The sequence below is a fragment of the Homo sapiens genome, chromosome 4 (assembly GCF_000001405.40).
Source record: "Homo sapiens chromosome 4, GRCh38.p14 Primary Assembly".
Classification (NCBI taxonomy): Eukaryota; Metazoa; Chordata; class Mammalia; order Primates; family Hominidae; genus Homo; species Homo sapiens.
Window position 1 is genome coordinate 169,055,662 of NC_000004.12, and position 23,425 is coordinate 169,079,086.

At 46.3% G+C, this 23,425-nt stretch overlaps 1 long non-coding RNA gene across 1 annotated transcript, besides 2 other annotated features; it reads right to left on the minus strand.

Moving 5' to 3' along the window:
* Positions 1 to 3,394: 3,394 nt before the first annotated feature.
* LOC105377527 (uncharacterized) lies at positions 3,395 to 18,612 on the minus strand. Its single transcript, XR_939429.3, has 5 exons — positions 18,492 to 18,612; positions 16,367 to 16,539; positions 14,984 to 15,088; positions 5,760 to 5,918; positions 3,395 to 4,511 (listed from the first exon to the last, which is right to left on the minus strand). It is a non-coding gene; the product is annotated as an uncharacterized LOC105377527 (long non-coding RNA).
* Positions 14,189 to 15,143: an enhancer, noted in NCBI's record as "NANOG-H3K27ac-H3K4me1 hESC enhancer chr4:169991001-169991955 (GRCh37/hg19 assembly coordinates)". NCBI's record gives its function as "activates a minimal SCP1, AML or CMV promoter by ChIP-STARR-seq in primed H9 embryonic stem cells {active_cell/tissue: H9 hESC(primed)}" and the evidence as "EXISTENCE:reporter gene assay evidence [ECO:0000049][PMID:30033119]".
* Positions 18,373 to 18,872: an enhancer, noted in NCBI's record as "H3K27ac hESC enhancer chr4:169995185-169995684 (GRCh37/hg19 assembly coordinates)". NCBI's record gives its function as "activates a minimal SCP1, AML or CMV promoter by ChIP-STARR-seq in naive H9 embryonic stem cells {active_cell/tissue: H9 hESC(naive)}" and the evidence as "EXISTENCE:reporter gene assay evidence [ECO:0000049][PMID:30033119]".

The window sequence follows — 23,425 nt, forward strand, 5'->3', positions numbered from 1 at the left end:
GGCTCTGGGGTCCTGGCCTTTTTTTTTTTTTTTTTTGAGACAGCGTCTCATTCTGTCACCTAGGCTGGAGTGCAATGGCACAATCTCAGCTCACTGCAATCTCCACCTCCTGGGTTCAAGAGATTCTCCCACCTCAGCCTACTGAGTAGCTGTGACTACAGGCGCCCACCACCACACCAGCTAATTTTTTTTTTTGTTTGTAGAGACAGGGTTTCACCATGTTGGCCAGGCTGGTCTTGAGCTCCTGACCTCAAGTGATCCGCCCACCTCAGCCTTGTCTTTCCTTGTCACAGTTCTTCCTGCACAGCCTGGCATGCCAACTGCCAGTTCATCTTTTGTTTTCTCCACTAGGCTGTAAGGAGTATATGGAGGCAGGGGTTGTTTCTGTCTTGTTCACTGTTGTATTAGAGGCCCACCAGATGATCTGGTTCATATTAAGCACCATGAAGATTGGTTCATGTAGTGAAGGAGGGGAAGGAATACTTAGGCCAAAGAAATACTTGAACAGGAATCAGAATTAGCAAGCCAGTAGTGCCATGCGCCTGGGGCAGAGGTTTCAATGGGTTCCTAATGTGGGATGTGTCTAGGAAGGTGGACATATAAAGATCGTGAAGATCACTGAAGGTTCTGGATTTTTTTAAAAGCTGTTATTTGGTAAGCCATCTGGGAATCACTGAATTATGTTGAGCAGGATGGCACACAGTGCTTCTTTCAGCAGATTAATCTGATACTGATAATTCATTGAAAGGAGAAAGGGGAGATGCAGAATCTGCTGCAGGAGCCGAAACACACAGGTGGAAAATACTTCATTAGAAAGGTGGCAGTGGGAGCAGAATGGAGTAAACAGGTGCAAGAAATATTTTGAGAAAAATTCAACAGGATTTAGTGAATAATTGGATGTGGAAGACGAAGGAGACAAGGAAATTGAGGCCAGCTCTGAGGCTGTGAATCAGGATGGCTGGAAGAATAGTGGTGCCTTTAATGAAAAAAGGGGAACATTGGAAAGAGGATATAATTGGATGGAAAGAAAACAAGTTTGGCTGCAGGCGTTTCAAGCTTGAAACATTCACAGAACATTCTAGTGGACACGAGTTGCATTGGAAATTCAGGACTAGAATTCAGGAGAGATTCCTTAAATAGTCTAGCCTCTCCAACAGTAGGTGAATTAATGCTTAGCTTTCCGTGGGTTTGGCTGATGTGGACATTGAAAAATTGTGAACATTGTTTAAAGAGTTGTTTGAGTTTCCAGAAATATTTAATAATCCTTACTTATTTCATGGGGCAAAATTCTGAGTAGGCTAAGGTGTATTTCACACCTGTTACCTTTGGAGACCCAATGCTCTTTTTTTTTTTATTTTGATTTTTTAGAGCAGGCTCTTGCGCTGTTGGCCAGGCTGGAGTGCAGTGGCTTGATCATAGCTCACTGCGGCCTCGATTTCCCAGGCTACAGCGATCCTCCCACCTCAGCCTCCCCAAGTAGCTGGAACAGATAACAGGTGTGAGCCACCGCACCTGATCCCAGTGGTCTTTTCATTTGGCTGGGCGGGTATTAACCTTGTGGACATTTAGCAAACTGGTGGAGAAAAATATACAATGTAAGTTTGAGAAAAATTTGTTCAAGTATTAAGACAAACATTTTGTTGGCAATCTTTCTGTTGGGGCAGATCTCTGGGGTTTGGGTGCTGTGCATAAATCCACAAAGTTTCCATTATCTGAAGACTGAAAGGAAGTTGTTGTGTAGAGTCAGCAACTTACTAGAATTAAACTTATTTAGGTTTTTCCCTCTACTAAAAATAGATAAGCAAGTTTTTAATTCTATCTGCAATTTTAAAAAAATCTGATATAGGCTGGGCATGCTGGCTCATGCCTGTAATCCCATTACTTTGGGAGCCGGAGGCAGGGGAATCACTTGAGCCCAGGAGTTCAAGACCAGCCTAGGCAACATGGTAAGACCCTGTCTCTGCAGAAAGAAAAAATGTTTTAATCAGCCAAGTGTGGCAGTATGCTCCTGTAGTCCCAGCTACACAGGAGGCTGAGATGGGAGGATTGCTTGCACCTGGAAGGTCAAGGCCACAGTGAACCAAGATCGTGCCACTGCACTCCAGCCTGGGTGACAGAGCAAGACCATGTCTTAAAAAAAATAAAAATAGGCTGGGCGAGGTGGCTCATGCCTGTAATCCCAGCACTGTAGAAGGCTGAGGCGGGCGGATCACGAGATCAAGAGATCGAGACCATCCTGGCCAACATGGTGAAACCCTGTCTCTACTAAAAATACAAAAGTTAGCTGGGCATGGTGGTGCACACCACTAGTCCCAGCTACTCGGGAGGCTGAGGCAGGAGAATCGCTTGAACCTGGGAGGCAGAGGTTGCAGTGAGCTGAGATCACACCACTGCGCTCCAGCCTGGGCGACAGAGCGAGATTCTGTCTCAAAAATAAGTAAAAAAGAAAATAAATAATATCTGATATAGATGGGGCAAAATGTTAATATGTTGTCCAATCTGGGTGGTGGATACTTAGATATCTGTTGTATTATTTTCTAAAATTATTTTCTGTGTATTATTTTCTTCTGTACAGTAGATTGTAATTTTTAAAAACCTTTCAAAAAAGACGTGCAAAACAGAGCAGAAGACTGAGATTCTGAGGCTTAGGCAAGTCTGGGAAGATGACCTGCAGAAGCAATAGAGCGACCCCACTTTCCAAAGTTCCTGTCCCTCTCCAGGAACAAAAGGCCATGGTGGTGACCGGGCCGTTAGAGGTCATGGGATAGAGAGGGAGGTAGCCATTCTTTTCTCAGGCCGTGGTCCCACAGTGTCTATAATAGTCCTCTTGAGGTCAGCCACCAGCTTGGGAAGTCACAGCTCCGCCACCGATGGTTAGAAATCAACATGCTCCCATGTCGAGAATTACTTGTAACCCAAGCACAGTGACAGAGGAGCCTCCTTTATGTCACTCCCACATGATGTCCCTGAGCCTAGGCTAGGCTTGGTTCCAAGGACAAGGTTCCTATGACACTTTATATCATAGGGCTTTTCTGAGCAAAGGTGTGCTGGAAAAGTCAGCATTTCCCAAAGCTGAGAAACATCTCTCTCTCCATTTTTTTTTTTTTTTTTTTGAGATGGAGTTTTGCTCTTGTTGCCTAGGCTGGAGTAAAATGGCGTGATCTTGGCTCACCGCAACCTCTGCCTCCCGGGTTCAAGCGATTCTCCTGCCTCAACCTTCTGAGTAGCTGGGATTACAGGCATGCGCCACCACACCTGGCTGATTTTGCATTTTTAGTAGAGATGGGGTTTCTCCATATTGGTCAGGCTGGTCTCGAACTCCCAACCTCAAGTGATATGCCAGCCTCAGCCTACCAAAGTGGTGGGATTACAGGCGTGAGCCACCGTGCCGAGCCTCCTCTTTTTTGTTTGTTTTGTCTTGTTTGAGAGAGTATCACTCTGTTGCCCAGGCTGGAGTGCAGTGGTACAATCTTGGCTCACTGCAACCTCCGCCTCCCGGGTTCAAGCAATTCTCCTGCCTCAGCCTCCGGAGTAGCTGGGACCACAGGCACACGCCACCACACCCAGCTAATTTTTTGTATTTTTAGTAGGGACGGGGTTTCACCATGTTGGCCAGGCTGGTCTTGAACTCCTGACCTCAAGTGGTCTGCCACCTCGGCCTCCCAAAGCACTGGGATTACAGGCATGAGCCACCATGCCCGGCGCATCTCTCTTTTTATTTCTTCTTTCAGTTTCTTCTTCCATTCAGGCCTAAGCTGGAAACACCACTGTCTGATAAACACTGGCCACACCAACGACATGGTAGGCCAGGGGGTGATAGCAATCTTCCAGTAAATCAGCTTTTCAGTCTAAACATACCAGTCATCCTACTTGAAAGAAATGTGTCCCTGGGGACAACCTGTGAGCCTTAGCCTTCTGTAGGGAGAAGCACTCTTGATGGGAGGAAATTTGGGAGCGAATATTTCTTTCAAGACAGAACCTAAGCGGAAATCCTCTTGGGTAAAGTATCTCAATAGGCTGAAGCCTGCCTGCTTCTGACTGTCAAGCCTTTGGAAACAGTCAGCATCTTGCTTCCAGTTCATCCCCTCTGCGTCAGAGGAGCCCTTCCCATAGTTCCATGAAAGGCTCCTTCGGGCTTCCTACCCAGCTGATGGGTGGGGAGAAAGGAAATCCATTTCTCCTGGGGCTTGATGTCTCTTCTCTGATCTGGGGCGCCTCCAGATTGCTGCCTCTTCTGTTAGATCACACGACAAGCCTATGCTGTTCCTGCCAGCACTGCTGATCAATCCCCTCTTCCAGCCAACGTGCCACTCTGCGCGGCAGTCGCCCTCCTTTCCCCACTGCACGATTAGGAACCGTTTCAGTGTTCTCAGCTTTTCCTTCCTGTGCCTGTCATTTCCCCCACGAACACAAGCTGCTTTGCAGTCCTAGTCACACACATGGCACCGTTCCTGAGACAGGTCGTACGTATGGTGCTGATCAAATTCGCTGCGCCAAGTTGCCAGGACTTTCTGGAACAAATAACATTTCACATTCAGCTCCTGGAGCACCCCCGAAACCAGACCTCCTAAAGTCTGCTTCATTTCCATCAGAGCTTTTGAGTCCCAGATTTCATTCTGGGGGATGAGTGATCAGAGATTTTTAAAGCCACGCTGACTCTTGCCCTCATTTTTAGCTTCCTGGGACCACTGGACTCAGTGCCTCCTGGGGTCTTGGGCTCCAAAGAACATCACTGAGTCGTGTTTCTAATTAAGGAACGCTGGAGAATTCCCCACACATCTCCACTCTTCCAGGAACTCACGTCTACCCCTCTCCCCGTGTATTTTTCTTCACAGACAACTCAGAAGAACACACGGGTTCTCCTATTCTCTATGGCCCAGTCTGTGTCCAGCATGGCAGGCAAAAAGGCCTGGAATCTCATGTTGTTGTGACTGGAGCCTGTTGCTGGCACAAAATCAACTATACAGATCTATGTTGATCATCAAGACAAACAGAACTATCTTCTCGGTGATGTTGTTGCTTTTTTTGTGGGGGGATAGAAACAGTGCAAGTCAGGCCTGGCTGTCTGTGTAGCAGAAGAGGAAATGGGTTCCCTCTGAACAAATTTTTTTTAAAAACTTTCTGTCCAGGCACAGTGCCTCATGCCTGTAATCTCAGCACTTTGGGAGGCCAAGGCAGGCAGATCACCTGAGGTCAGGAGTTCAGCCTGGCCAACATAGCAAAACCCTGTCTCCACTAAAAATACAGAAATTAGCTGGGCGTGGTGCCACAGGCCTGTAATCCCAGCTATTCCGGAGGCTGAGGCACTAGGATTGCTTGAACCCAGGAGGCAGAGGTTGCAGTGAGCCAAGACCACGCCTGTCTCAAAAAAAAAAATTAAACATTAAAAAGATTAACTTTTTAATGTTTAATTTTTGTGGGTACATAGTAGGTGTATATATTTATGGGTTGCATGAGATACTCTGGATACAGGTATGCAATGCATAATAATCACCTCATGGAAAACGAGGTATCTGTCCCCTTAAGTATTTATTTTTTATGTTATAAACAATCCAGTTATACTCTTTTCATTATTTTTAAAAGTGCAGTTAAATTATTATTGACTATAGTCACCCTGTTGTGCTATCAAATATTAGGTCTTATTCATTCTTTCTATTTTTTTTTTTTGTACCCATTAACCATCCCCACTTCTCCCCCACCCATCTTCCCTCTGAAAAAATTCAGACAGTCTTCCTGGGTTAGTGGGGAATGGATTGTACCTCCTGCAGTGCTCCTTGAAGACAATTTGAGAGATGTGTTCTCTGCGATAAACCAAAGAATTTGAAATCTTGGGCTTGCAGGTTGAAAAATACATAGTATCCTCATGTATGTTCATTACTTAGTGTTGGATGAGGTTTCCAAAGCCATATGTACAAATTCTAGAGTTAAAAACAAAAGCTGTCAGAGTGGGGAATAACGTCATTCAACTTGGCCATGCAATTTGCCTCTTGTCCCAATAATATATGTTTTGGTAAAATAACATTTGAGGGACAAAAAGAGGATGCCAGATCTAAATTAATTTTAGAACAAAGTAATATATGCCAGGCATGGTGGCTCACGCCTATAATCCCAGCACTTTGGGAAGCCGAGGCGGGTGGATCACCTGAGGTCAGGAGTTCAAGACCAGCCTGGCCAACATGGCAAAACTCCGTCTCTACTAAAAATACAAAAATTAGCCATGCATTGTGGCAAGTGCCTGAGGGAGGCTGAGGCAGGAGAATTGCTTGAACCCAGGAGGTGGAGGTTGCAGTGAGCCGAGATCACGCCACTGCACCCCAGCCTGGGTGACAAGACACTCTGTCTCAAAACACACACACACACACACAAAAGTAATATAAAGAAGCAAACACAGGTGAAATACCCAAAGGTTATTATTTACAGATGTCTCATATTTTCAAAGCCCCCAACTTGGCAGCTGTCTTTCCCAGACCCTGTGTAGCATGTTAAAAACTGCTGATTAGGCCGGGCACAGTGGCTCACGCCTGTAATCCCAGCACTTTGGGAGGCCGAGGCAGGCGGATCACCTGAGGTCGGGAGTTCGAGACCAGCCTGACCAATATGGAGAAACCCTGTCTCTATTAAAAATACAAAAATCAGCTGCGCATGGTGGCGCATGCCTGTAATCCCAGCTAGTCGGGAGGCTGAGGTAGGAGAATTGCTTGAACCTGGGAGGCAGAGGTTGCGGTGAGCCGAGATTGCGCCATTGCACTCTAGACTAGGCAACAAGAGTGAAACTCCGTCTCAAAAAAAAGAAAAAAAACAAAACTGCTAGTTAACTCTTAGAGTGTCACAGACTTGTAAACTGCATGATTTGTTTAGTATCAAATAAAAACCAGAGCCTTTCTGATTTAAACCAACACTCCTTTCCCCAGGTTTTATCTCATTTATGTGGGGCACAGAAAGTTGCAGCCTTTCCAACATAAACCTCTGCCAGCACCAGCTCATATTAAGTAAATGTGTGGGATCAACAACGGAGCGCTGTTGACATTTTTTCAGGCCCCTCCCATGCTTGGGTCATCAGGATCCAAGCCTCTCCCTGAGCTTCCAGCTCTAAAATTATATGACTCTAGTTACTTTGGCAGCTATTCAGAGGAAAAAGAAAATAGGGAGGAAGGAGGGAAAAAAAGATAATTACTGAAGCATCGTCCCTAAAATTCTGATGGCATTGGGTAGGAAGGGTGTTTATAAAATAGTCGTGATCACAGCAGATAGACATGGCAGTGATCAGAGAAGCGTCCTTGAATAGCCCCTGATGTTCACACCTCCATACTGACATTTGTTATCATAACGGCCTTGGTGGTTAAACTGAGATGTGTTCTTAAGCAAGAGGCCCCAGGGCTGTGTGGCTTTATCTTTTCCCCTCTGAATCGCAGGGAGAAAGAGCAGTTCCACAATCAGTTCTGTGTATTTCTTATTATGTTCCTTAGCGGTTCCTAAGGTGGTCATAAAGAGAATGACTCTGTTACATAAGACAGTCACTGTTGAACCAGGATCTCCCAGGGCCTGCGTCCTTACCTAGTAGCAACCGTGAAACACATGAACTCTTCCAGGCAGAGTAAAATATACCCAAATGGGTAACGACTGTAATTCCACAGCTAAATGCTGCTTTTGCGGCATCTAAATCAATGTGCTCCCCCATCAAACTCCAGCATATGAGGGTAGAAGTGTCACTGCATTTTATTTTATTTTATTTTGTTTTATTATTTTATTATTTTTTTGAGACAGGATCTCACTCTATCACCCAGGCTGGAGTGCAGTGGCATGATCATGGCTCACTGCAGTCTTGACCTCCTGGGCTCAAAGGATCCTCCCACCTCTGCCTCCCAAATAGCTGGGACTGCAGGCTAATTTTTAAATTTTTTTGTGGAGATGGGGCCTCACAATATGGCTCAGGCTGGTCTCAAATTCCTTGGCTCAAGCAATCCTCCTGCCTTGGCCTCCCTAAGTGCTGAGATTACAGGCGTGAGTCACTGCACTCAGCTGGCATTGCATTTTAGACATTATCTAAGTGTAATCTTTGTTCACAGATGCATCAGAAAACACCGAGTTTGATCAGCCATCTGAATTAGAAACAGTAATAACAAAAATCACAACACTTTAGCATCCAAACAGTTAAGGGAGGAGAGCCGTTGTTGAATTCTCTCTTGAAACTCATCATGATGAGGCTGTACCAAGAGGGCGATGTAACTGTGGGTACCGGGGCCTGCAGAAAATCCCCCCTGGCTCCTTCTGAGCTGCCACTCAGGGCTTTATTTATCCCACCCGTATCTCTCCTTCAGAGTGACACAGTCAGCAAGTCACTGGACTGCGGACTGTGGCATCGTGGTCTTTTGTGTTGGTCTTCTCAGCAAGAACCTGATTTCTGGCTTTGCTCAGCATCCATCCTCCCACCCCATCAGCTATGGCTGTGCAGTGAAGCTAATGGGGTTGAAGCTTCAGAATCCCTCATTTGCACGGGCTCCTTCCAAGGCCCTACAAGGACCCTTAGCCGTGTGTGTGTGTGTTTATATATAAAATTTCTATAAGTAAGAAACTGCAATTTTAGGGGATTAAGATCATTTGCATTCTGCTCCAACGCCACTTGTGTTAGGGGTCCTAGAAGTGGCTGTGAGCATTTTGGGGAATTGGCTAACGGCAAGTTGAGTTAGGGGTACATTTAGTTGGACTTGGTAAAACACAGTCATCTGATTTGCAGATGTGTCTGTGCATAGTTGAAGTTATTGCTACTCATCCTGATGTAGGAATGGCTTCCAGGAAAACGCCCTCTCCCTGTGCCAACTCACTGGGCATCAGGACATGAAGGTGCAGGCCAAAATTTGCATCATGATATAAATGTGTGCTGTGGCTTCTGGCACCACAAGTATGTGTCTCATGAACATAAAACACAGTTTGGAGCCAGAAGCCAGTCTGGGGGAATATTCTTTCCAATTTTATAGCTTGTATGTATATCAAGAGAACTTGATAGAGGTTATACCAAATTTAACAACAACCTTGGATAGAATTTTAAATGACAGGCCAGGCGCAGTGGTTCACACCTGTAATCCCAGCACTTTGGGAGGCTGAGGTGGGCAATCACCTGAGCTCAGGAGTTCGAGACCAGCTTGGCCAACATGGTGAAACGCCTATCTCTACTAAAAGTACAAAAAGTAGCCGGGTGTTGTGGCACACATATATTATCCCAGCTACTTGGGAGGCTAACGCAGGAGAATCACTGGAACCCAGGAGGCGGAGGGTGCAGTGAGCCGAGATCATACCACTGCACTCCAGCCTGGGCAATAGAGTGAGACTCGGTCTCAAAAAAAAAAAGAAAAAAAAAAGAAAGTTTTAAATGACATTACCAAACAAAACTTTCAAACTATGTATAAGTACATTGCAATCCACCATGCTAGAAGAAAAACTGAATGATTCTATTCTCTTTAGAGAAAATGAAATTATAAAATTGTTTTCTCTCAAAAGGTCACCTAAGAATACACAGCCAAAAAATACAAGGGGTAGGGGAGTACGATAGAAGTATAGCAAGTGGGCCAGGCGCAGTGGCTCATGCCTGTAATCCCAGCTACAGGAGGCTGAGGCTGGAGTATCTCTTGAACCTGGGAGGCAGAGGTTGCAGTGAGCCGAGATCGAGCCACTGCACTCCAGCCTGGGCAACAGAGTGAGACTCTGTCTCAAAAAAAAAAAAAAAAAAAAAAAGTATAGCAAGTGGTTAATAAAATATTATGTACTTTTTGGAGTTTTATGATTTTGTGTGATTTGTTAGCTTTTGATAATGTGATTTGCTGTACATTCTTTGCTCATTATGTGATAACTATTTATCTACATAACTTTGTATTCTTCTACTTAAAAAGGGCGCCCAGATTCTGTAAGCTTCAGGCCTCCCAAAACCTGGATCCACCTCTGCCCCCTGCAGCATGTGGTAAACTGTTGAAAACAGTATACACTAAATGTGTGTGAATCAAACGCTGCTCCCTCTGCCTCATTAAAAATCATTTCCACTGGGCCAGGCACAGTGGCTCACGGTAATCCCAGCACTTTGGGAGGCCGAGGCTTGCAGATCATCTGAGGTCAGGAGTTTGAGAGCAGCCTGGCCAAAATGGCAAAAACCCCGTCTCTACTAAAAATACAAAAATTAGCCAGGCGCGTGGTGGTGCACACCTGTAATCCTAGTTACTCGAGAGGCTGAGACAGGAGAATCACTTGAACCTGGGAGGCGGAGGTTGCAATGAACTGAGATCGTGCCACCGCACTCCAGCCTGGGCGACAAGAGCAAAACTTCATCTCAAAAAAAAAAAAAAAGTAGTTCTGCCAGATGAGGTGGCTCATGCCTGTAATCCCCGCACTTTAGGAGGCTGAGGTGGGTGGATCCCTTGAGCCCTGGGGCTCAAGACCAGGCTGGGCAACATGGCAAAACCCTGTCTCTACTGAAAATACAAAAAATTAGCTGGGCATGATGGCGCATGCCTGTAGTCCCAGCTACTCAAGATGCTGAGGTGGGAGGTTCGCCTGAGCCCAGGAGGTCAAGGCTGCAGTAAACTATGATCACACCACTGCACTTCTCCTGCCTAGGCAACAGAGCAAGACCCCGTCTCAAAAACAAAAACAAACAAACAAAACTATCAGTTCTTATAGGTGAAAACAGGAATCCAGATGATATGAGGCTCCACCAGATATTAGTGAGGACAGTGTGACCTACATGTGATTTTCTTTGTGGAAGGTTTAAAAACAGAAACATGAGCAACCTTGGTGCGAGACTTAGACCTATAACGAGGGCATCTGCTTTTCCTTACTCAAGCTACACCAGGATTGGGACAAACTAGAGTGATGTCATCTTGATTTTTTTTTTTTTGTCACCCAGGCTGGAGTGCAATGGCATGGTCTCGGCTCACTGCAACCTCTGCCTCCCGAGTTCAAGCGATTCTCCCACCTCAGCCTCCTGAGTAGCTGGGACTACAGGCATGTGCCATCACTCTGGCTAATTTTTGTATTTTTAGTAGAAATGGGGTTTTACTATGTTGGCCAGGCTAGTCTCGAACTCCTGACCTCATGATCTGCCTGCCTCAGCCTCCCAAAGTGCTGGGATTACAGATGTGAGCCATCACACCCGGCCTGTCATCTTGAATTTTATTCACATATTTTGATCTTCATTTATTTGGAGTGAAGGCATATAAGTTATCAAAAATTAAAAATAATATTTTGAAATTTTAAACTGAGGTTCTTTTTCTTCAAAGTTATTGACTCTGCCCCCATTGGCTCAATGGCATTCATTACTTCAGGAGAAAGTGAAAACAGCGAGAACAAAGCAGCCAGGAGGTGCTGAGCGGATGGATAATTCACAATATCTGAAGCCACAGTCGCTTGAAAGAGCTAGTCATGTGAGAGAGAGGCAGTTTTGTTCTGAATTTCAAAATGGCTTAGTTTTAACCCATTTATGGCTGAGGTGGCAATTTTTTTAATTTGAAAAATCAGACCTTGGAAATGCCTTGAGCAGTAGGATATAAATAACTCCCACATGCTTACCGTTCCAATAATGGAACACTAGGCATAAATAAGCAAGATGATAGTAAAAGCTTGGGGGACAGAGCATAGCATTTATAGGTGTTACGATAAAGCAACTTGTCCAATCTGTGGCCAGGATGGCTTTGAATGCAGCCCAACACAAATTCATAAACTTTCTTAAAACATTATGAGACTTTTTGAATTTTTTTTTTTTTTAGCTCATTAGCTATCATTAGTGTTAGCATATTTTATATGTGGCCCAAGACGATTCTTCTTCCAATGTGGCCCAGGAAAGCCAAAAGATTGGACACCCTGCTCTAAAGGATGCAGCTCATGGCACAAGGTCATTTCTCCACCATAAAAGAAAGCAATACAAATTGCTGCCCAGGCATGGTGGCACACATCTGTATTGCCAGCTACTTAGGAGGCTGAGGCAGGAGGATTGCTTGAGCCCAGGAGATCGAGGCCAGCCTGAGCATAGCAAGACCCTATTCCTTAAACAAAAAAAATTTTTTGGCCGGGCGCAGTGGCTCATGCCTGTAATCCCAGCACTTTGGGAGGCCAAGGTAGGCGGATCACGAGGTCAGGAGATTGAGACCATCCTGTCTAACACAGTGAAACCCCGTCTCTACGAAAAATACAAAAAAATTAGCCGGGGCCGGGCACGGTGGCTCACGCCTGTAATCCCAGCACTTTGGGAGGCCGAGGTGGGAGGATCATGAGGTCAGGAGATCGAAACCATCCTGGCTAACATGGTAAAACCCCGTCTCTACTAAAAATACAAAAAAAAATTAGCCGGGCGTGGTGGCGGGCGCCTGTAGTCCCAGCTACTCAGAAGGCTGAGGCAGGAGAATGGCGTGAACCTGGGAGATGGAGGTTGCAGTGAGCCGAGATTGCGTCACTGCACTCCAGCCTGTGCGACAGAATGAGACTCTGTCTCGAAAAAAAAATTTTTTTAATAAGCATTAAAAAAATAGCTTTCCTGGCACTGCAAAAGCTTACTGGGGGAGGGGGGGGAAATAAAGGCTTTCCTGACTCAGCACCCAGGGAACTGGGGAGCAGAAATGGGGGAGGAGAGAAGAGTTGTAAGAGATACAGACAGAGGTGTGCTTGTTCCCAAGGGGGCGGTGGCTCTGCCTCCTTAGCCGACATTTCACTGGCAGGGGACAGAGAGTACAGGGGTAAGGGCAGAAGGGACGTGGCCCTTGTTTGCTCTAAAACCCTTGCTTCCAGCACCACAAGAACATGAGAGGGGAGAGAAGCAGAGCGGAAAGGCAGGCAGGGCAGACCTGGACTGAAAATGGGCCTCCAAGAACCGCCCCACCTGAGTCTCCCCTACTTCCTTCCTGTGTGGGGAAATCAGGGGAAGAGCCCGTAGCGCCTGGTGAGGGTGAGGAAGGTGGCAGAGAATGAAGCCTTGGCCAGAGCAGCACTGCCACTGCAGTGACGGGGCCTGGCCGGCAGGGAACAGCCACCTCTCCTTTTGTTGCCTAAGAGCAGCTGACAAACTGGGTCAATGGTGAAGGCAACAGTGACCAAGACTGACACGCACCACCAAGGCAACAAGATGTCTCCAAGGCCAAGGGGGGCCGGAGAACAGGAAGCATGGGACAGACCTGGGGCTCATCCAGAGGAGGAGATGAGGGAGTGTGGCCCTGATGGAATTAAAATCCTGGATTGACTGAGGAATTACCCTAAAGAAGCTTTGAAACCAGAAGGGTGTCAGTTATCCTAAAGTGCCAAGATGAAGAGTTTTCCACTACTTCATAAGTAAATTGAGTACAGTTATAGAGAAATAATGTTTCATTTTTGCAGCTCTGAGATGTCACTGTAAACTTGAAACCCACTACACATTAGAAATACCTGCCCTCAGGCCGGGTGCGGTGGCTCATGCCTGTAATCCCAACACTTTGGGAGGCCAAAGTGGGCAGATCACGAGGTCAAGAGATCAAGACCATCCTGGCCAACATGGTGAAACCCCCGTCTCTATTAAAAATACAAAAATTAGCTGGGCGTGGTGGTGGGCGCCTATAGTCCCAGCTACTCAGGAGGCTAAGGCAGGAGAATCACTCGAACCCGGGAGGTGGAGGTTGCAGTGAGCTGAGATCATGCCACTGCACTCCGGCCTGGGTGACAAAGTGAGACTCTGTCTCGAAAAAAAAGAGAAATCCCTGCCTCCCTTTTATGTTCCCAAAATGTTCCCACCACAGAGGCAGCCTTGTACACTGACAATTTGCCTACATTTGGTGGGGTGTGATTGCAAGACCAGGACCAGACAGCAATCAGCACTACTTTGAGCTTCCAGAAATCTAATCTGGGGAAGTATTCAGGCAAGAGATACATTGATCTCTTATAGAGGACACAAAGACATGAACATTGATAGCCCTGTTGTCATCTTAAAAATCATAATTAGGCCAGGTGTGGTGGCTCACACCTTTAATCCCAACACTTTGGGAGGCTGAGGTGGGTGGATCACCTGAGGTCAGGAGTTTGAGACTAGCCTGGCCAACGTGATGAAACCCCTTCTCTACTAAAAATACAAAAATTAGGCAAGCGTGGTGGCGGGTGCCTGTAGTCCCAGCTACTCAGGAGGCTGAGGCAGGAGAATCACTTGAACCTGGGAGATGGAGGTTGCAGTGAGCTGAGATCATGCCATTGCACTCCAGCCTGGGAGACAGAGCAAGACTCCATCTCAAAAAGAAAATCATAATTACTTTCATGATGTGTACTCTAAGGCAATCTGATAAGTAGTAGGGTATCTGTTCTTTCCCTCATTTCTCTCCCACCCTTACTCTGACTGGTATCTTGGAAGCAGAAAATTCTAATGCAATATTTGCTATGAGTGTTGTCTTTAAATGTCATCCACAATGATTAGGAAGCCCTCACAGACACCAGCCCTGTTTAGCTGGGTGCAGCCGACCAGGTGTTCAACCAGTTTGACTACTCCGCCTCCCTTTGTTAGGCCTCTGAATTATTTATCTCCTGGTATGCGAGTGAGAGACTCAGACTGTGGCTCTCCACATGCCCTGGAGCTAAACGTCCTTGTTTGTTTTCTCCGGAGTAATTTCACTTATTCCCCTCTCCCCTCTCTACAAGGAAGCTGTGGTTCACAGGTATCCATGACTATAATGATTCATGAGGAATCGAAATAAAGGCATTACAAACCCTCTAGATAAAATGAGGACATTCTTTAAGTTCTATTATAAATTGAGTGTAGCCCAAGAATTCAACGGAGAATGAATAAGAGATTACCGGTTGTCTGGTTAGAGATTAGTGGTTGCCCCCAGGGAATAGCTTGTTGGCTTGTGTGGGCGGCCAGAAAACACGGCAGCCTCAGCTCTCTTTGGAGTCCTTCCTTCAGAGAGGAATTGACTTCCTAGCAATTCATTTCCCCGTGATTGTGGCCCATGCTCACAGAGGCCAAAACAAACAGGCCCAGGAAGATTCTTACCGTGGCCAGTGGAGAGCCCGGCCTGGCAGCACCCCTCAGGCTTCGCCGCTGCCTTGTGTGCATCCCAAGCAATCTTTGTCAGCATCCCCATGGCCACAAAACTTCCTTTTTAAAAAAAAAACGAAAAATGTAGTTTAAATGTTCACATGCACATCACAGCTAACTTCTATTACCTTTAAAAATGCTTTTAAATTTTTTAGACTTTATTTAGTGTAAAATTAAGTTTAGCCCAATGCTGCCTCCTTATAGTTTACATTCTGCCTAAAGCTGTGCTCATGCATAGTGCACTGTCACCTGACAGGGTGTGTAAACACACGGCTGCCTACTCTTGTGTCAATCACCCAGTTCCGGCCAAAGGCGGGCAGTTCTTCAAACCATGAACAAACAAGGCAATCATCCAGCAGTAACCAGCCTGGCTCTTTCTGTGCCTCGCTTCTGTTTCCTGTACATCCCTTTCCTTTTTCTGTCCGTAAATCTTCCTCCACCATGTGCCTAAGCTGGAGCTTCTCTGAACCCATTCTGGTCCAGGGGCTGCCCTATTCACAAATAATTTTTTGCTCAATTAAACTCTGTTAAGTTAAACGTCTCTGTGGTTTTTCTTTTAACATTAGAGACAGGGTCTCACTCTGTCACCCAGGCAGTGGTGCAATCATGGCTCACTGCAACCTCTATCTTCTAGGCTCAAAAGATCCTCCCACCTCACCTCCCGAGTAGCTGAGACCATAGGCATATGCCACCACACCTGGCTCATCTCTCCTTTGTAATGCCTTATGTTTTCATTAAAAAAAATATACTCTTAAGGCTGAAAGTTCGTTTAGACTAAACATAGCTTGAGGCCCCTTGACAGCACCCCTGGATGCTGGCCATCCAGTCTCGAATCTGAACGTCTTCAGTGACAGGGAGGTAACTTGCTCCCTCCCAACATAGACTCATCCACTTTTGGGTTGCTCCAGTGGAAACCCTTTCTTAGACTGAAGATTCCCTATAATTTACATCAATTGTACCTAATTTCATGCCTTGACACCCCGTGGGATAAATCGTACCCATCTTCCATGTGAAAGCTCTGTAGAAAATTGGTGACCACTATGTCATCACTCCCCCCATGGCCCTTCTTCATGGCCGAGCTCCTGCGGTGGTATCATTCTTCCTCTACGAAGGGGCTGAGAGTGTCTACCACCCCGCTGCTCCCCTCTGAACAGCCTCCAACTCGTCGAGCCCTTTGAAAACTGTGGTGCACATAGCTTGGCACAGGGCTCAGCTGTGGTCTCTCCAGTGCAGAATGAGGCAGAAGGCTTTGTTGGAAATACCATACATCTATTAATGCAGCCAAGGATTTAATGAGCTTTCTTGGCAACCACATGAAATTATGGCTTTTTTTCTTACCAGCAACTACATATTTGAGTGGTTGGATTTTGTAAACCAAGACCAGAGCCTTCCGTTTACCATTATGGACTTTATCTTGTAATATGGGCTGATTCATTCAGACTTTTAGAGATCTTCTGGGGTTTTGATTTTGCCCTTCAATGTATTAGTATTCCACTCATTCTCTGTGTCACCTGCAAATACAACAAGTTTATTTTTGGTCTTTGGCCAAGCCACTGATAAAACAAAAACAAAAACAAAAAAACACAACAACAACAAAAAACCCTCATGTGGCACGATAATGCAGAGTTCTGTGGTATTCCAATAAAACCAGTCCTCTGGATTAAAAAGAATCAATTAATTAGCAAGCTTTGGCTATGATCCTTCAACCCGTTAAAAACCAGCACAATTACCCTATCCCTCAACCCCTGTGAGGACAACATTAGCCATTCTTTACGGCAGCTCATCATCTGACCCCACTTTCTGCGTGGGAGAATTCCCTACTTTGCGAGTCTGTCAGAAGGCAGAGACCACCTCCTCCCATGAGAAGTGAAACAGGTCAGCATCTGGCTTTCCCAGCTCCCTCCATAGCTAAGGTGTGGGCATATGATCTGGGCTCCACCAAACAGAGGCATTGGGCTGAACTTTGACTCAGGAGCTGGAGAGGCAAAAACGTTGGGACTTTAAGGACTCTGTTTTGGCAGAGGATGGGGACAGCTTTATACCCTTTTCAGGACACCAGGGTTAGTGTTAGCCGTGTCAGCAGGGCAAACCTTGGTGTTCATGCCGATGTTGACAAGCTGTCATGCCCTCCAAAGACCAGGGCTGTGATTGTGGATGCGGCTCTGCATCCAAAAATCCATAAATCACATCAGATGTAGGATATCTGAGCCTGATTGTCTGGCCCTTCTGGACAGCTGGTAAACTTCCCTATATCCTTGAATAAAATCCCTTTTCTGTTTAAACTCACTAGAATTTGTTTCTGTTCTTTGTGACCTAAAAGCTGCGAGTGATACTCTGCCTCTGTACCTTATCCCCAGGGCACCCAAGCAACTATGTCAGTTTCCTTTCTGAAGTGTAGAGGGACCATATCCATCTTGTATCTCTAAGTTTGCCAGTGGAGTAATCCTATCAGAAAAGGAGATGGAATCAGGCTAACACAATTTGCTTTTAGTGACATGGGGCTGACTATAATCACTGCCTGCTGGTTTCTAAGAGCTCAGAAACCACCTTCTAGCATTCTCTTCAACACTCTCACCAAGAATCAATCTCAAGCTTACTGATCTATAGGTCATAGAACCCACCTTCTTTTTCTTTTTGAAAATTAGAATTACGTATTTCCCATCTCTGTGGCTCGGTTATTTTTCATAATTCCTAGAGATCATCCAAAAGATTTCCCAATCACCTCCACAAATTCTTTCCATTTTCTTTACTATGAAAATATTCTCATACCATCTCCTCATAGGTTTGATTTGTTCTTTTTGATTTGAAAAATGTTCTTTTTTGAGAAGACAGAAGCAGAGCAAGAGTTAAGGAATTCCATTTTCTGTGTTATGTTTGAATATTGCATTGTCCAGTTGACACTACAGACATTCCTCAGAACCTGTCCTAGACCTGCAGACAAAGGCGAGGCATAGCCCATCTCTCTGCAATTTCAAATATCTAAACCCAAACCCCATGCCCTCCAGTCTAAATACACTGTCTTAGTCCATTTGGGCTGCTGTAACAAAATACCTTAGACTGGGTAATTTATAAAAAGCAGAATGTGGCCGGGCGCGGTGGCTCACCCCTATAATCCCAGCACTTTGGGAGCCTGAGGTGGGCAGATCACTTGAGGTCAGCAGTTCAAGATCAGCCTGGCCAACATGGTGAAACCCCATCTCTACTAAAAATACAGAAATTAGCTGGGTGTGGTGGCAGGTGCCTGTAATCCCAGCTACTCTGGAGGCTGAAGCTGGAGAATAGTTTGAACCTGGGAGGTGGAGTTTGCAATCCCAGCTAATCTGGAGGCTGAAGCAGGAGAATAGTTTGAACCTGGGAGGCGGAGGTTGCAGTGAGTCGGAGACTGCACCACTGCACTCCAGCCTGGATGACAGAGCGAGACTCAATCTCAAAAAGAAAAAAAGTGCGGAATTTTATTGCTCACAGTTCTGAAGGCCGAGAAGTTCAACATCAAGGTGCCACCGGATTCGGTGCCTGGTGAGGGCCCTCTGCTTCATACAGGGCACCTTCTTGCTGCATTCTCACATGGTGGAAGGAGGAAAGGGGCAAGCAAACTCCCTCAGGCCTCTTTTATGGCGGGATTATTCCCATTCACGAGGGTTCTGCCCTCATGACCCAACAGCCCCACCTCTTAAAGGCAAAACATTGGAGATTCGATTTCAACAGATGAGGGAGTCTCTGAGCCTACTCTAGCTCAGAAGGTTACCTGCCAAAAAAAAAAAAAAAAAACAAGGAAAGAAAAAGAAAAAAAAAAGAAGATTTCAACATGTGAATTTTGGAGGGATGCAAACACTCACACCATAGCGCTGTCCTTGAATATAGTATGTGCCTTATGAATGCTAGTGGCATAAAGCTAACAAAAGGCTATAACTTATCCCAGGCATACCTGCTTGGCTTTTGAACCTCATTTCTGTCACTGTACACTTACAGCCTACCATAAAAAATATTAATGATCACATAAAAGGTGGTTTATATTATCCAGGTCTTATTTAGTATCATTAAACATCACTGTTAGTCTCATTTAATATAGCTAACTTATAATTGGCCAAAAAAAGCATTGCAGGCCAGATGTGGTGGCTCACACATGTTATGCTAGAACTTTGGGAGGTCAAAACAGGCGGATCGCTTGAGCCCCAGGATTTCAAGACCAGCCTGAGCCACATAGTGAGACCTTGTCTCCACAAAAAATTAAAATTAAATAAGGATTGCAGGCCGGGCGCAGTGGCTCACGCCTGTAATCCCAGCCCTTTGGGAGGCTGAGGTGGGCAAATCACCTGAGGTCAGGAGTTTGAGACCAGTCTGACCAACATGGAGAAACCCTGTCTCTACTAAAAATACAAAATTAGACGGGCATGGTGGCACATGCCTGTAATCCCAGTTACTCAGGAGGCTGAAGCAGGAGAATCACTTGAACCTGGAGGCGGAGTTTGCGGTGAGCCAAGATCGCGCCATTGCACTCCAGCCTGGGCAACAAGAGCGAAACTCCATCTCAAAAACAAACAAACAAACAAACAAAAAAGCATTGCAATATTATTCCAAATTGTTTTTTAAAAAGCACAAGTCTTAAAATCATAATTATTTTTTTTGAAACGGAATCTTGCTCTGTCCCCCAAAGTTCTGGGATAACTCCCAAAGTTCTGGGATAACAGGCTGGAGTGTAATGGCGCGATCTCAGCTCACTGCAACCTCTAGCTCCAGGGTTCAAGCGATTCTTCTGCCTCAGCCTCCTGAGTAGCTGGGATTACAGGCATGCACCACCACGCCCAGCTAATTTTTGTACTTTTAGTAGAAACAGGGCCTCACCATGTGGCCAGGCTGGTCTCGAACTCCTGAGCTCAAGTGATCTGCCAGCCTTGGCCTCCCAAAGTGCTAGAATTATAGGCATGAGCCACTGTGCCCGGCCTATTTTTTAGTTCTAAAGCATGCGTATGTTCAATACTCAGTTGCTTTAACTAAAGGTTTCATTTTTCTATTCACTCAAACAAGTCTCTCTGAGATGGCTACTTTGTAGAAGGCACATTCTCTAACTCTGCCTGCTTTTCAATTCAACCCAGCAGCATTCTTTCATGAGAACTAAGTTGTTAGACTGTTTGGTGTCCTGGAAGTGTTAAGTGACTCCAAGATGTGGAGAAGTTAAGACACCGTGAAGTGACCAGGGCTCCTTGGTGGAACTCAGTTGTTTCTTCTGCTTCAGAGGCTGGGTTCCATGAAGCGCTCCAGAAGAATTCTCCATACATCACGCCCAGAATGCCTCTTTTTCTTCTAAATTCCCAATGAAATGATCTCAAGAAACCTGGTTTAAAAAACCATATATACATATATATTTTGAGATGGGGTCTCACTCTGTTGCCCAGGCTGGAGTACAGTACTGCGATCACGGTTCACTGCAGCCTCAACCTCCAGGGCTCAAGTGATCCTCCTGCCTCAGCCTCCCAAGTAGCTAGGACTATAAGTGTGTGCCACCACGCCAGGCTAAATTTTGTATTTTTTGCAGAGACAGGTTTTCACCATGTTGCCCAACCTGGTCTTGAATGCCTGGGCTCAAGCAATCTGCCCACCTTGGCATCCCAAAGTGCTGAGATTACAGGCGTGAGCCACCACACCTGGCCTAAAAAACATACATTTTGATATAAATATTCCAAAGTGTGTGTGTGTCTGTGTGTACTTTAAAACCTATTTAATTCCTAGTAGGTAAGGGATAATGTCATTCACTTGACTGAAACTTAGATTGAGGCCAAGATCAGAGAGAAAGAAGGACCAGCCAGGTCATGATCCATTGCACTGGAGGGAAGAATCCTGCCTTTGAGAAAGGAGGCACCCTCAGAAGGAGCCTACTGATCTCTCTGGTTGGGGTGAGGTGGGGTAAAGCTGAGAGGAGGCCATGGGCCATTGGAACCATCCCAGCTTGCCCCACTGATGCCTCTTAGCTTCCCGGATGCCGGATCCCATGCCAGGGAGACTTCGCTGACGTGCTCGGGCTTACCCTGAGCATAGACGGGCTGCTGAACGAGTCGCATCTCTCTCAACCCAGGCTTCCAGGAGGGCAGCTGCATAGGTAGAGAAAGGCCAGCACCCTGGATAATTTCAGATGGGCTTGAGGCATGTGTGTGACGGGTGCCTTTTAAAGTAGCACCCTACCAGAAATGGACTTTGTGTCATCTCCTTCTTGGTAAGAGTGGAAGAGGGGACCCTCCCTTGCAGGAGTAGGTCAAGGATCCACATTGTCTGGAGAAAAGGGGCAAACTCACAAGACACTTTGGGCTTTCAGGGTTTAAGAAGACACCTGCTCAGTTCCCAGGAGAGTAGATCCCTGGACAGCGGGTGTGGGGGATGGTCTTGGTCCACAGGGTGGTGATAATCAGAGCGGGAGATCATCCCAAGCCGGGGTCCTGGCGGCGCTGCTGCATCCCACAGGTTCAGGAGGTATCATTCCCTCAGAAGCCAGAAGGAACGGTGTTCTCTGCGGTGGTACAGAGTTGAGTCCTATTTCCTGGGGTGGGTTATGCCCCTGGGGTGAATGTACTTATGATGAAAGAGTTGGTCCCTAAGAGATAGAACACTCTGAGCTTGGGCCTAGTAGGGAGTGAGGTCCCAGCAGCCAAGCCCGGTTGTAGGCAGTCACTGTGTCCAGAACTGCTGCAAAAGGGCTTGGTTCTAGCCTAAATGCTACAGCAGGGAAAGAAGACACAAAATTCAGAGGCAGGCCGGCATGGTGGCTCATGCCTGTAATCCCAGCACTTTGGGAGGCCAAGGCGGGAGGATCTCTTGAGCCCAGGAGTTTGAGACCAGCCTAGGCAACATAGTGGGAGCCTGTCTCTATAAAACAAACAAATAAAAAACCACCACCAACACAACAACAAAATCCAGAGGCAGATGCAACCCCTACCCTAGCCCCTTCTACTGAGAAGACCCAAACACTCCCAACTCCTTATCCACCTACCACCGTGACTCTCTGCCACGCTACACCCCTGAGCTGACAAGGAATTGAAGGAGTTTGACTCAAAGTTCCTGGACCAATTTAGCTGACCTCTTCCTTGACTGAGAGAAAGGCAATGTGAAAGGTCTTCACCTAAATGTCTCTGGCCAGTTAGACCGGAAGAGATGGCAGCACAAATGCTGAGACCAACTTCCGTAGGAGTCACTGCCTCTCCTGAATGCCCTTGGCCACTAGGTGAGTTCTGGGCTTTGTCCAGCTCCAGGCTCAGGACATGACTTGCTGACACCAGGCTGTATGCCTCAACTCCTCTCCACCCTAATTATATGTAGACATGGGACCAAGCCCATCTGGACCCAACCAAGCTATGAGGAAACTCTTGGATGCGTGAGAAGGAGGGCACTGGGGCATTTCAGCAAGACTGACATCTAAATTTTCTGCCCTTATAGGGAGGAGGTTCTTGAACACTTGCTCCTTGGCGGTAAAATGAATCAAATTATTCCTACAAGAAAACGTTAGGTCCAAAGAATATGGTTGCCTTTGGTATTAACAACTTACCACCTGCACTTATCGTTATCTGTAAGATGTCACTCATGCCTGTAATCCCAGCACTTTGGAAGGCCGAGGCGGGCGGATCACGAGGTCAGGAGATCGAGACCATCCTGGCTAACATGGTGAAACCCCGTCTCTACTAAAAATACAAAAAACTAGCCTGGCGTGGGGGTGGGCGCCTGTAGTCCCAGCTACTCGGGAGGCTGAGGCAGGAGAATGGCGTGAACCTGGGAGGCGGAGCTCGCAGTGAGCCGAGATCACGCCACTGCACTCCCACCTGGGCAACAGAGTGAGACTCTGTCTCAAAAAAAAAAAAAAAACAAGAAAACAACAACAAAAAAGAAAACGACAATAAATCTAAATATGGCTGGGCGCGGTGTCTCACCTCTGTAATCCCAGCACTTTGGGAGGCCGGGGCGGGTGGATCACCTGAGATCAGGAGTTCAAGACCAGCCTGACCAATATGGTGAAACCCCGTCTCTACTAAAAATACAAAAATGAGCCATGCGTGGTGGTGAGCGCCTGTGGTCCCAGCTACTCAGGAGACTGAGGCAAGAGAATTGCTTGAACCAGGGAGGGAGAGACTGCAGTGAGCCGAGATCACACCACTGCACTCCAGCCTGGGTGCCAGAGTGAGACCCATCTCAAAAAAAAAAAAAAAAAAAAACAAACAAAAAAAAAAAAACAAAAAACTAAATACATCCCTTCTCCCTAAGGTTGGCAGCAGAATCCACACCATTCTAGAAGAACACTTTTTTTTTTTTTGAGATGGAGTCTTGTTCTGGCATCCAGGCTGGAGTACAGTGGTGCAATCTCAGCTCACCGCAACCTCTGCTGCCCAGGTTCAAGCAATTCTCCTGCCTCAGCCTCGC